The sequence below is a fragment of the Homo sapiens genome, chromosome 2 (assembly GCF_000001405.40).
Source record: "Homo sapiens chromosome 2, GRCh38.p14 Primary Assembly".
NCBI classification, from domain to species: Eukaryota; Metazoa; Chordata; class Mammalia; order Primates; family Hominidae; genus Homo; species Homo sapiens.
Genome location: NC_000002.12, coordinates 218054634 through 218067635, shown reverse-complemented (window position 1 = coordinate 218067635; position 13002 = coordinate 218054634). Strand labels below are relative to the sequence as shown.

At 47.0% G+C, this 13002-nt stretch overlaps 1 protein-coding gene and 1 pseudogene across 2 annotated transcripts in view, besides 1 other annotated feature; one reads left to right on the top strand and one right to left on the bottom strand.

The window, feature by feature from the left end:
- Nucleotides 1–13002, bottom strand: part of RUFY4 (RUN and FYVE domain containing 4) — a 55719-nt gene that overhangs the window by 23017 nt on the left and 19700 nt on the right. The window contains exon 3 of the transcript NR_034176.2: nucleotides 8955–9041. The gene's annotated coding sequence lies outside the window, so the exon portion shown is untranslated. The remainder of the gene's footprint in view (nucleotides 1–8954; nucleotides 9042–13002) is intronic.
- Nucleotides 1376–1918: an enhancer, noted in NCBI's record as "H3K4me1 hESC enhancer chr2:218930441-218930983 (GRCh37/hg19 assembly coordinates)". NCBI's record gives its function as "activates a minimal SCP1, AML or CMV promoter by ChIP-STARR-seq in primed H9 embryonic stem cells {active_cell/tissue: H9 hESC(primed)}" and the evidence as "EXISTENCE:reporter gene assay evidence [ECO:0000049][PMID:30033119]".
- CXCR2P1 (C-X-C motif chemokine receptor 2 pseudogene 1) lies at nucleotides 6346–8481 on the top strand (annotated as a pseudogene). The gene has a single exon (NR_002712.1). The product of NR_002712.1 is annotated as a C-X-C motif chemokine receptor 2 pseudogene 1 (transcript).

Below are 13002 nucleotides of genomic sequence, written 5' to 3'. Positions count from 1 at the left end.
GCTTGCCTGTGACTCCCTCCCTCCTCTAACTGTGGGGAACAAGCTCCATCCCAGCTGGTGTGCCCTGACTCTGGCTCCAGTGGGGGTTGCTGCTGCTTGGGGCTCCCCTCTTCAGGGGCTTAGGGAAGAGCAGCCTGCACCCATCACCTGGGCCCTCACTAGAGGAGGTGTGATACCCTCGTTCTTGGGGTGGATAAACATCTACTGGGTGCTGATCCCCTCAGGAGCCAAGGCTCAGTGGCTACCCGGACATCTGGGCTGCCTGCCAGGGCACTCCTACTGCCAGTCCTGCTACTTCCATGCCCCTATTCCTCTCCTGGCTCTCCTGGAGCCCTCCCATGTGTGCTGTGTGTATATGGATTGGGAGGGCAGAAGGCAGAGCAAGGGGCCCGGGAGGTGGGGCAGCCATCTGCGGGGTGGTGCCAGTGGCTGGGGTTAGAGACATTATGAGCCAGGGAGGGGGCTAAGTGGGGCCACGACTAACTTGGGAGAAAGGACCGGATGCGGAGATGGCTTGTACATGGGTGATAAAGAGCGGGAGGAAGTTGAAAATGACCTCTCTCATCTCACAGAGACGGTGACTGACAAGGCAGCTTCAGACATTTGTCTGTATTAGCGTGTTGAAATATTTCGTAAATACAGAAAAGTGTACAAAATTCCCACTGACTAAACACACAGGTGTATCGGTATCCTCAGCTCTCAGAGTCTAGAAATTACCATTAAAGCAACAGTAATCAAGACAGTGTGGTGTTTGTGAAAGAACAAGGAAACGGAAAATCTGTCACATTTTGAAAGACATTATGAAGACGCGACAATCCAATGTAATGTGAGATCCTGGATTGGGTTCTGGAACAGAAAACAGACATTTCAGAATATGGTGACATTTTCATAAGGCTCACAGTCCTCTGAATAGCATTGCAGCAATGCAAATTAGTTAGTTTGGACACATGTGGCACGTAATGTAAGACGTTATCTTTAGGAAAAGCTGGTGGAGGGTATATGAGACCTGTACTGTCTGTACCGTCATTGAATCTCTTCTGTTAACACATAATTATTTTAAAATAAAAAGTTAAAATAAAAAAGAAGTGAGATTCCTGGCCTGCAATCACAAAATGAATTGGAAATAGCATAAAGCAGAGTGCTGTAGAAACGTTGACAGTTGGCTGGGCGTGGTGGCTCACGCCTGTAATCCCAGCACTTTGGGAGGCTGAGGCAGGAGGATCACCTGAGGTCAGGAATTCGAGACCAACATGGCAAAACCCCGTCCCTACTAAAAATACAAAAATTAGCTGAGTGTGGTTGCAGGCGCCTGTAATCCCAGCTTCTGGGGAGGCTGAGGCAGGAGAATCCCTTGAACCTGGGAGGTGGAGGTTGCAGTGAGCTGAGATTGTGCCACTGCGCTCCAGCCTGGGCGACAAGAGCAAAATTCCTTCTCAAAAAAAAAAAAAAAAAAAAAAAGAAAAGAAAAGATGACAGTTGCTATATTGTTATCATCATCATCATCATCTCAGCAACCATCCTTCCCCACCTAGCAGCACTTTGGACATTTCTCTGCACCTGTGTCTCTTCTATGGGGTCCTGGCCCTCTCAAGGCCCTGATGCCTCCCTGTTCCCTTCCCCACCCCCCTTGTCCCCCAAGTCTTCTGGCCCCACCCCTCCTGTCCCCAGGGAGGCTGCTAGGCCAGTGGCTGAAGGAGGGGCAGCCACACTCCCTGGTGATCTCCTGCCCCAAGTGTCTGTGCCCTGACACGGCCTGGCCAGAGCCGGCTAGAGTGCAGCCAGCAGGGCATTGCAGGGGTTAAAGGAGGCCATGGCTGGCAGAGGGGGCCCACTGCTGTCTGACTCCTGGAAGGAGGCGGTGCACTGCTGACCCGCCTCCTGGGCTGGTCTGGGAGGGAACCCCACTAGTAGAGCCCTCTGCTCAGTTGCTCCCAGCAGTGGCCCTGGGGCCAGCTCTGCTCCTTGCATCCCGCTCCCTGCTTGGACACAGGCTCACTCGCTGCCTTCTTCTGGGAAACCAGCTTCTTGCCAGCCACAGCTGCTACTCCCACCACCAGCCACCACTCCTGTCCTGGGAATCCCTTGTCCCAGACACCCACCTCATTCAGTGGCTCCTCTACAGGAAAGGTGAGTGAGTGAGTGGGGCTGGCAGGCCCGGCAAGGTTAGGGTTCAAAGCACTGTCTCCATCTCCACTCTAAAGCATGGGCCCTGCTCCCTTGCCCTTGGGCAAAGCCTGGCAGGAGCACGCCCTGCACCTTCCCCAGCACAAGCCCTTCCTCCTTCCTCGCCCCTCTGGGCAGAAATGGCCAATCAAGGTGGTTAATGAGCAGACTGAAGCTGCCTCCCCTCTGCCCCTCCCTCTCCCCCCACCCCTCCTCTCCTACTCTGACTCTGATGCCCTGCCTGCAGTGGGCCAGGGAGAGGGCTGAGTGGGGCCACGACTAATTTTGGATAAAGGACTCGATGTGGAGATGGCTTGGGTGTGGGTGGGAAGGAGTGGGAGGACGTTGAAAATGGCCCCTCTCATCTCACAAAGATGAGATGATTCTCCACCCGTTCCCAGGCTGGAGAATCCATATGGAGCTGACCTCAGTGTCTGTCCCCCAACCCCCAATCCAGAACTTGCGCTAGGACTGCCTGCCCAGATGTTTTAGGCTGGCCTCTGTTCTAGACAAGGAAACGGGATCGGGGTGATGAAGGGGGACCCGGAGAAGCCTGCTGTGCTTCAAGGCTGGGCTCCCTGCAGGGGAGGGGATGGGGTTAGGGGATAGGATGGGTGCTGGGTGGGGAGGAACTGGAGGGGGAGGGCAGGCAGGCAGGCGGTTGTGGGATGGGAATAGGAGGGGGACCTGGAAACTAGGGTGCCAGGGTCTTTGGGCACAGGGACTTCTCTTCTGGAAGCCCCAATTGCCCCTTCAGCATGGCACCAGTGGGGAAGGTGTAGGGGGAGCACCCTCTCTTCCCCTCCTAAAGCTGCCTGGGGTGGGTAAAGATCATGGTGGCTCAGACTTGGCCTCAAGTTGCACCTTCCCCTGCCAGCTGGTGGCCACTCCTGTATCCCCAACTCCAGCTCTCCCCGGACCTCAGTACTTGCTACAGCTGGGGCAACCCCTGCCTGAAACCTCTGGCCCAGGGTTGTGGGATGGAGCGAGGGAGGATGTGGATTGAGATGGAGAGGTGGGTGGGAGAGCCCCGAATGGGATCAGCACTGGAGACCCAACTTGGGGTTGGCTTGGACTCTGCTGCCCATGGAGGGCAGGGAGTTGGAGAGGAGTGGGCTGGTCCAGGCTGGGGAGGGTCTTGGCCAGTCTGGCTGACCACCAGAGCTGGGAGCCAGCACTGTAACCAGGAGCTGAAGGTTCTTGGTGGTGGAGGAGGCACCCTGGGGCCCTCTGCTTCCAGGCGCCTGGCCTTGAGCCCTTCTGGCTCTGCTTCCCCATCCCTCATCCCATACTTCTTCACGCTTCACTTTCCGCAAAACTCCAGTGCAGAATTTCCCAGGGAGATGGCAGTGTCCAGAAAGTGTAAGTACAGCGAATCTGGTGGCCAGGTGGAGCGGGGCTGGGGTGGGGTGCTTATGGGTTCATGGAAAATACTATTGTTTTGTGACCAACTTCTGGCCTCTGATGGGCTGTGGCTGAAGCCTTAGAGTTTGGGGACCCTCGGGCTCCTGTTTTTACCCAGATAGGAGCAGGTATCAAGAGGGGTCAGAAAGGACTTTTGTTTGGTTGAAAGAAGAGGAGACTCAGAGGTGGAAGCTCAGCTCAGGTGAAGGAAGAGCTTCTTAGGAACCTTGCCTTATGGGCTGACGTGTAAGGTGGTGAGATTATTTTGTCTAATACAGCACTTGCAGGGGCCCCGCCTCCCTGCTAGTTTTGGGGAACCGAGAGCCTGATGCTCTGCCCTCACACTGTGCCCCTCGCTCACACCCATGACTCAACACCTACCATGTTCGCTCCTAGCTGCTTCCTGCAGAGGTTCTGAGGTTCTTCCTATTCCTCTTGGCCCACTCTGCCCCTTGCCTGCTGGTTAATTCCTGAGGGCTGGAGCATGCCACTATGAACATTAGTTTTTGTGTGGGCATAGCTTTCAATTCTCTTGGGTATATCCCTAGGATGGGGGTTGCTGGTTCATGTGGTAACTCTGTGTTTAACTTTTTTGAGCAACTGCTAAACTGTTTTTCAAAGCAGCTGCCCCATCTTACATTCCCACCTGCGATGTGGGAGAGTTCTGACTTTTCCACTTCCTCACCCACATTGTTCTTGGGCATCTTTTTCTGACTGTGCCCAGCCTGGTGAGTGTGAAGTGGGTTCTGGGACCTTTAACTTTCTGGTTTTTCTCTGTCACTGGGTTCCATTTTGGGGGTAGGTTATGGACTTGGACCTGGTTGATGGTAGGATGGTCATCCCTTAGACTCTAAGGCAATGGCCAGAGGGTGATCTATTTTGTGGTTCGGAAAAAAGCTAATTAGGGAGCTGGATTGCTTTAGTTGACTTCTTCTTTGAGAAACTGGGATAACATTTTTGAATGGCTTCAGCCCACCCTCTACACCCAGGCTTCCCCAGAGCGGGATCTCTCCTGTCCCTGTAGCAAGGGCAGAGCCAGCAGAGATGGACTGAATGAGAAGAACAGGGGAGTCAGGGCTGGATGGAGGCACACACATGCAGGACAGGGAGGGTCCCCAGCAAGGCTGGAGAGCCACCAAGCAAGGGTAGTGCAGCCCCTGTTTTCTCTGCTTCCTGCCGCCGTTCCCTCTTATTGGGGTGCAGGCTGGCTGTGTCTGCTCATCCTGCATGGCAGCACATGGCTGCTCAGAGCTCCCCAAATAACCTGTTACGTTTCTACCCATGGGGAGAATCAGGGAGCCCACTTGCTTATTATTATTTATTTATTTTTATTTTATGTTATGTTATTTTATTTTTTTGAGACAGAGTCTTGCTCTGTCGCCCAGGCTGGAGCACAGCAGTGCCATCTCGGCTCACTGCAACCCCTGCCTCCCGGGTTCAAGCAATTCTCCTGCCTCAGCCTCCCAGGTAGCTAGGACTACAGGTGCATGCCACTGGGCCCAGCTAATTTTTTGTAGTTTAGTAGAGATGGGGTTTCACCGTGTTGCCCAGGCTGGTCACGAACTCCTGCTCAGGCAATCCGCCTGCCTCTGTCTCCCAGAGTGCTGGGATTACAGGCATGAGCCACCATGCCCGGCCACTTATCATTTTTTTTTTTTTTTTTGAGACGGAGTCTCGCTCTGTCTCCCAAGCTGGAGTGCAGTGGTGCAATCTCGGCTCACTACAAGCTCCGCCTCCTGGGTTCACGCCATTCTCCTGTCTCAACCTCCTGAGTAGCTGGGACTACAGGTGCCCGCCACCATGCCCGGCTAATTTTTTTTTTAAAATATTTTTAGTAGAGACGGGGTTTCACCATGTTAGCCAGGATGGTTTTGATCTCCTGACCTTGTGATCCGCCCACCTCGGCCTCCCGAAGTGCTGGGATTACAGGCGTGAGCCACTGAGCCTGGCCCACTTATCATTTTTAATATACTTTTCCAAAGTACACACACATTCCCAGAGCAGGCCTCCTTCTACCCAAAAGAGAAATGCTGGGCCTTACTAATTAACTGAAGATTCTTCTATCTCGAGCCTTCCAAAACTCCATGCTACTGTTCAAACTGTTTTCCAGAACATTTCTTTCAAAATAACTTTCAGAAGGGTGCACAAAGAGATTCATCCCTCACTTTTATAGTCAAACCTTGATCTGTTTTGAGGGTACAACCCCATTGGAGTGGCTGCTTAGTCCCCTGATTAAGAACTGAGTGGCATCTCATGTTTCTGAACATTAAACCCAGCCTTGACAGCTGAAGGTGCTCACCACTGAGGGATCCAAGTAGGATTGAGTGTCCTGTAGTTATTATCCACAGGGAACATTCTACAAAGTTTTGGGAGACTGTGATGTCATGGGAAATGCAAGAATATGTGTCCAGCATGGAAGGGAATCAGTATGGAAGTCTTTTGATAAATTGTGGCATTTATCACTAACATTGCCTCAAAACTTTAGACTACCTGCCATATACAAATTAGAGGTGAAAATTACTTCCATGTAATATACAAGCCAACACAAAGAATCCTATCCCAGTTTCTTGGATGGATAGGCAAGAATCTGGGTAAGGTTTATTGTGCAATAATCCTCTTCTCTCTTCTATAGGCCAGGATTTAAGTTTACCTCAAAAATGGAAAATTTTGGCTGGGAAAATTACATGTGGGAAGACATCTTCAGTGGAGATTTTAGTAATTACAGTTTCAGCTATGACCCTACCCCTTTTCTACTAGATTCTGCCCCATGTTGGCCAGAATCCCTAGAAATCAATTATGTTTTGATCATCATCTATGCCCTGATGTTTCTACTGAACGTGATGTGAAACTCCCTGCCGATGCTGGTCATCTTATTCAGCTGAGTCAGCCACTGTCACCGATGTCTACCTGCTGACCCTGGCCTTGGCCGACCTGTTCTTTTCCCTGACATTGCCCATCTTGGCTGCCTCCAAGATGAATGGCTGGATTTTTGGCACAATCTGTGCCAGGTGGTCTAGCTCCTGAAGGAAGTCAACTTCTACGGTGGTATTCTACTACTGGCCTGCCGCAGCATGGACTGTTACCTGGCCATTGTCCATGCCACACGCACACTGACCCAGCAGCGCCACTTGGTCAAGTTCATATGTCTGGGTTTGTGGAACCTGTTCCTGTTACTGTCCCTACGCATCTTGCTTTTCCGAAGGACCTTCTACCCATCCAATGTTAGCCCAGTCTGCTATGAGGACATGGGCAACAATACAGCAAACTGGTGGATGCTGTTACGGATCCTGCCCCAGTCCTTTGGCTTCATCGTGCCGCTGCGATCATGCTGTTCTGCTACAGATTCACCCTGCATACGCTGTTTAAGGCCCATATGGGGCAGAAGCACTGGACCATGTGGGTCATCTTTGCTGTTGTCCTCATTTTCCTGCTCTGCTGGCTGCCCTACAACCTGGTCCTGCTGGCAGACACCCTCATGGGAACCCAGATGACCAATGAGACCTGTGAGCGCCGCAACGACATCAACCAGGCCCTGGATGCCACTGAGATTCTGGGCATCCTTCACAGCTACCTCAATCCCCTCATCTACGCCTTCATTGGCCAGAAGTTTTGCCATGGACTTCTCAAGATTATAGCCATACACGGCTTGATCAGCAAGGACTCCCTGCCCAAAGACAGCAGGCCTTCCTTTGTTGGCTCTTCTTCAGGGCACACTTCCACTACTCTCTAAGACCTCTTGCCTAAGTGCAGTCCCGTGGGGTTCCTCCCTTCTCTTCACAGTCACATTCCAAGCCTCATGTCCACTAGCTCTTCTTGGTCTCAGTGTCAGTGCAGCCCCCACTGTGGTCGCAGGAAGCAGAGGAGGCCACGTTCTTACTAGTTTCCCTTGCATGATTTAGAAAGCCTGCCCTGGTACCTCACCCCTTGCCATAATTACTACATCACTTGCTGGAGCTCTGTCCCTCCTGCCCTTGAGCTCATGGCACTCTATGTTCTAAGAAGTGAAAATCTACACTCCAGTGAGACAGCTCTGCATACTCATTAGGATGGTTAATGTCAGAAGAAAGAAAATCATAAAATAGAAGGTGTCCACAAAGGTGCAGAGAAAGTGGAATTCTCGGGCATCGTGAGCGGGAATGTAAAATGTTGTGGCCACTGCGGAAGACAGTATGGCATCTTTCCTCAAAACATCAGACATAGAATTACCACATGATCCTGCAATTCCACTTGTAGTAATTGACCCACAAGAAGTGAAAGCAGGGACTTGAACACATATTTGTACACCAATATTCATAGCTGCTTATTCATAAGACCCAAAAGGCAGAAACAACCCAAATGTTCATCAATGAATGAATGAATGAATGGCTAAACAAGATGTGATGTGTACAATGTTCATCAATGAATGCATGGCTAAGCAAAATGTGATATGTACATAACGAAGTATCCTTCAGCCTGAAAGAGGAATGAAGTACTCATACTTGTTACAACACGGACGAACCTTGAAAACTTCATGCTAAGTGAAATAAGCCAGACATAAACAGATAAATAGTTTATGATTCCACTTACATGAGGTACTGAGAGTGAACAAATTCACAGAGACAGAAAGCAGAACAGTGATTACCAGGGACTGAGGGGAGGGGAGTATGGGGAGTGATGGTTTAATGGGCACAGAGTTTATGTTTGGGATGTTGAAAAAGTTGTAAAGATAAACAGTAGTGATAGTTGTACAATAATGTCTGAGTACTTAATGCCACTAAACTGTACACTTAAATGTCTAAAATGGTAAAATTTTATGTATATTTTACCTCAATTAAAAAGAAAACACCTTGGCCCCCAAAGGTACTTTTGCCAAAGAACCAAGGCTGAAATTTCTTGCTAAATGAGATAATTAAATGTCTTTCATTGCTTAAACCACTTTTGTGTGTTTATTTTGTTTCTTCCAACCAAAAGCTTCCAAACTGCTACAGAGAAGTGGGGCAAGAGTGAGCAGAGGTCTTGGGTGAGAGTCTTTACAAGAAGTAAATCTCTTTGTTATTTGTTGTGTCGTAAAGAGAAGGATAGAATAGAGATGGAGCCCAGCCTTGCATCCCCTCATCCCCAACCCAAGCTTCCTGCTGCAGACCACGCATCATGGAAAGAAATGTGTTCTGGGATGCTCTAGGGCATCTCATATCCTTGGGTGAAGCAGTAGTCAGGAGTGTCAGGGGTGGGACTTAGAAGGTGCAAAGGGTTGAGTAAGTTCACCAAATCCCCCTGATCAGGTAGCAGAAAGGCAGAGAGCTCTTCCAGGTCAGCCAGCAGCACCCACTTTGAGTGTCCCTCCCTCTCTCTCTCTCCCCCACAAGCACACACCCATCATATGGTGGTGTCTGGCACCTTGCACTGACCTTCCTGAGCTGAAGCAGAATGAAACTGCTGCTCCAATTCCCGCTTCCAGATCTCACACATGAGGTCCCTTCTGGCCCCCCACTGACCTGGAAATGTGAAAGGAAGAGAATTTGGGGAAACACAATTCTATCTTATCATGCTGACTCAGTACAAATCCCTCCACACAAACTTATGTGCAAACTCTAAGGAAAAAGAACGGTTCCCACAAAGGTTCAGGTGATGTTTATTAAAGGGTCGGGGAAGGGAGAAACACATTGGGGCTTTTGAAGGCACTGATAATGCCTTCTTTCCTTACCCACATGATAGATGCTTGGGATTTAGTGTATTATTATTCCTTAGGCTATAAACGTAAGTTTTTCTTAACTTGTAGTATGTATGCTATTCACAATGAAAATGTTTTAAAACGTTAAAATAAAGGAAAAGCTAAGGAGAAAGTGATCAGAAGAACACAAGGACAACTCGGGTCATTTTGAGGACCCAGTGCACAGAGTGGAGTGCAGGCTTTTGCATCTTGTAATTTTGGAGTGAGAATTCACCAGATTAGAAGAAGATACTTTCATGCATTGCTGGTAGTAGATAAATAGGTACAAGCTTTAGAGAAAGCAATTTGATGATCTCTCTTTTAATGCACACAATCTCTGATTCAGGAATTATACTACTACAAACCTATCCTACAGAAATAGCTGCTTAGTTGGACAAATGTGTACAGAACATTCATTGCAGCCTTATTTACAAAAATCAGAGATTAGAAGCAACCCAAATGTTTATCAATAGGGAATTCATTAGTTACACTCTGAAGTTGCAGCCACACCATGGAATACTGTGAATGCAGTAGTTTAAAGTCAAAGCTAAAAACATTCTGCTAAGTGGAAGAAGCCAGAACAGAACCACATATTATATGATTCCATTTGCCTAAAATGTTTCCTGAAAAGGCAAATCTGCAGAGACTGAAAACAGATGACTGGTTGCCTGGGCCTGGGGTTGGGAACACAGATTGATTATAAATAGTCACAACGGTTCTTTTTGGGGTGATAGAAGTAACCTGTGGCGATGGTTTTACAGCTCTGTTAGTTTACTAAAAACAATGGATTGTATCCTTAAAACAGGCAGGTCTTATAGTTGGTAAATTACACCTGAATAAAACTGTTTTTAAAGAAGAACCTTAAAAAATTAATGAGGTAGGTATATGAGCGGACACAGAAAGTTCTTCAAGAAATAATGTGGAATGAAGGAGGAAGGTAGAACAGCATGTGTAATAAATGGCTTACCCATTTGTATAAAAAATTATAATATATGTAGATTTATAAAGGTTCAGATAAATGTCTAGGAAGTATCAAAGTCACATAAAATCTAGAGATGAATTTCTAAACAAAACCTTTTATGTGGCAAGACAGAATTACAATTCAGGGTGTGTACACAGACTGGGGTGGTCTTTGCAACAAAGAGAAAGTTGCAGGTTTTATTAGAAAGAGAAATGTTAAGTATTGTTTTGAAAGAAAACTCACTGGCATTAAGCAAAGGTTTTTGGGAGTTGACAAGCTCTGATAGATAGGACAGCGCTGGGTAAAACTAGTCTTCTCTCTCTCTTTTTTTTTTTTTTTTGAGATAGAGTCTCACTCTGTTGCCCAGGCTGGAGTGCAGTGGCACAATCTTGGCTCACTGCAACCTCGGCCTCCCGGGTTCAAGAGATTCGCCTGCCTCAGCCTCCCAAGTAGCTGGGGACTACAGGCGCAAGCCACCATGCCTGGCTAATTTTTAGTAGAGACGGGGTTTCACCATGTTGACCAGGTTTGTCTCAAACTCCCGACCTCAAGTGATCCACCTGCCTCGGCCTCCCAAAATGCTGGGATTACAGGTGTGATCCACCGCACCTGGCCTGGATAAAACTAGTCTTGAAATCACAGCAGCTACTTGGTAAAACTGGTCTTAAGGTTACAGCAGGTCATTTTGGCAGCTGAACTGTGATGTAATCCCTGGTCAGGCCCTTTGTGCACTGAATGCTTCTTTCTCCTCTGGACACTCAACTCTAATTTAGTTGTATGTGACAAGATAACTGTAATTTATGTAATCAATTTTCATATTTCCACCTGTTGATCAAGATCATTGTCTGAAAGCATCACTGGGTAACCATCTTGAAGTTAGGCTTTATTGTCCTTCATGCCAGGATGAGCCCATCCCTGTGGTCTTACATTGAGGGGAAAGTACAAGAGTCAGTGTCAGGGACCCGGGCCACATTTGGGCAAGAGAGACCAGAAGTGGGGGAAAAAAGCTCTCTCAGGGCAGAGTTGCCTGGAGTTTAGCATCAAGTTCTATCTGATTATTCTGGCAGGCATCAGCAATCATCTTGAAGTGTGGGGCTAACATTATCCTGTTGGGAGAACTGGCTTTGCAAAGATTAGACAGGCAATAAAAGCAGAGCTTACAGAGCAGAATACAAAAAAAAAAAAAAAACAACAACCAGCAACAATATAATAAATCCAATTTGTACAATGGTTTTGAACCAAAAGCCCAAGCCTCAAGGCAACCAACTAGGCAAATCAAATTGAGACCTGTTGCAGCCATTGTGTAGCATTCCGTGAGTGAGCTGAATTAAAGCAGAGAGTGTCACCTCTAGAAAAGGGACAATTTGAACAAAAATTCGTGCTGGGATATTGCCGAAGATGCTCTCCAGGTGGACTGAAGGATTTTTTTAGGTCAGATTCTGTCAAGTTACCTATAGCAGTATCTAATTTGTGAAATTTTAATGATAGCATTATCCTGTGAAGTGGAAAGGTAGTCAATGAGAGGGGTAGGAGTCGTATTACCATATGGAGTTGTATTTTGACGGTCTTGGGAAAAGCTGCCTAAGCATGAAGTTGCCAGTTTTGTAGTTCAAATATCTCTGATGATGGCACTGTGGCGGGGATGGTTGGTGAACATTCTGGGTGGACCCATACATCAGGCATGAGTCTTGCTCCTTGAAATGTATATTAAGTTGTTTAGTTTTAGTTTAGGGCTTTAGGAAAGAGTAATTTCCTGCTTAGTAATTCCATGGGGGAAAATTGGATCAGAGGAAACCAGAAGAATTTAAGATACAGTCCATTCTACAGACAGATAATAAAAAATCAAAAACAATGCACTGGACTACAATACAAAAGCAATAACGAGTGTATTCTAGACATCCCAATTTTTACTGAAGATAATCAGAGTAACACCAAATTTAGTTTTATCAGGTTTGGCCTGATTATTTATGTAAGTGTAGTAAAAACAGTGATTGCATCTTAGATTGTATTTTTTTTTTTTTTTTGAGACAGGGTCTCACCCTGTTGCCCAGGCTGGAGTGCAGTGGCACGATCTTGGCTCACTGCAACCTCCACTTCCTGGGCTCAAGCAATTCTCCTGTCTCAGCCTCCCGTGTAGCTGGGACTACAGGTGCCTGCCATGACGCCTGGCTAATTCTTGTATTTTTAGTAGAGATGGGGTTTCATCATGTTTCTCAGGCTGATCTCGAACTCCTGAGTTCAGGTGATCTGCCTGCCTCAGCCTCCCAAAGTGATGGGATTACAGGCATGAGCCAATGTGCTTCGCCTTGTATCTTCTTCTTATTATTTTTTTAATTTTGAGACTAGGAAGCCAAATTAAGGCAGGCTTCTGATTTTAACTGCAGTACCCGGAAATAGGTTAAAATATGATAACTTCATCTAACCCTGATAATATAATTAACATTTTAAATTGCATCTTCCTATAAAGAAACAGAATTTTATTGAACTTATGTGAATAACTATATTGTCATAAAATAAAAAGTACTCACAGATAATTTCCAAATTTTAGAAGGATCAAGTAGGAAGAATAAGCAAATGTTTTCACCTTTGTTCATGAAAATTTGCCTCACCAAATTGTTGTTAAACTACAGATAGCTTAAGAGAGAAACTTTTCTTAAATCTGGAAAACAAGACATTTAAGTAAAGAACTAACAATATTTCAAATGATATAAAAATCATAATTTGTATCAGTTATTCAATTTCATGTAATCAATTTTTATTCTGCTTGATTTTGATTAGCAGTTTT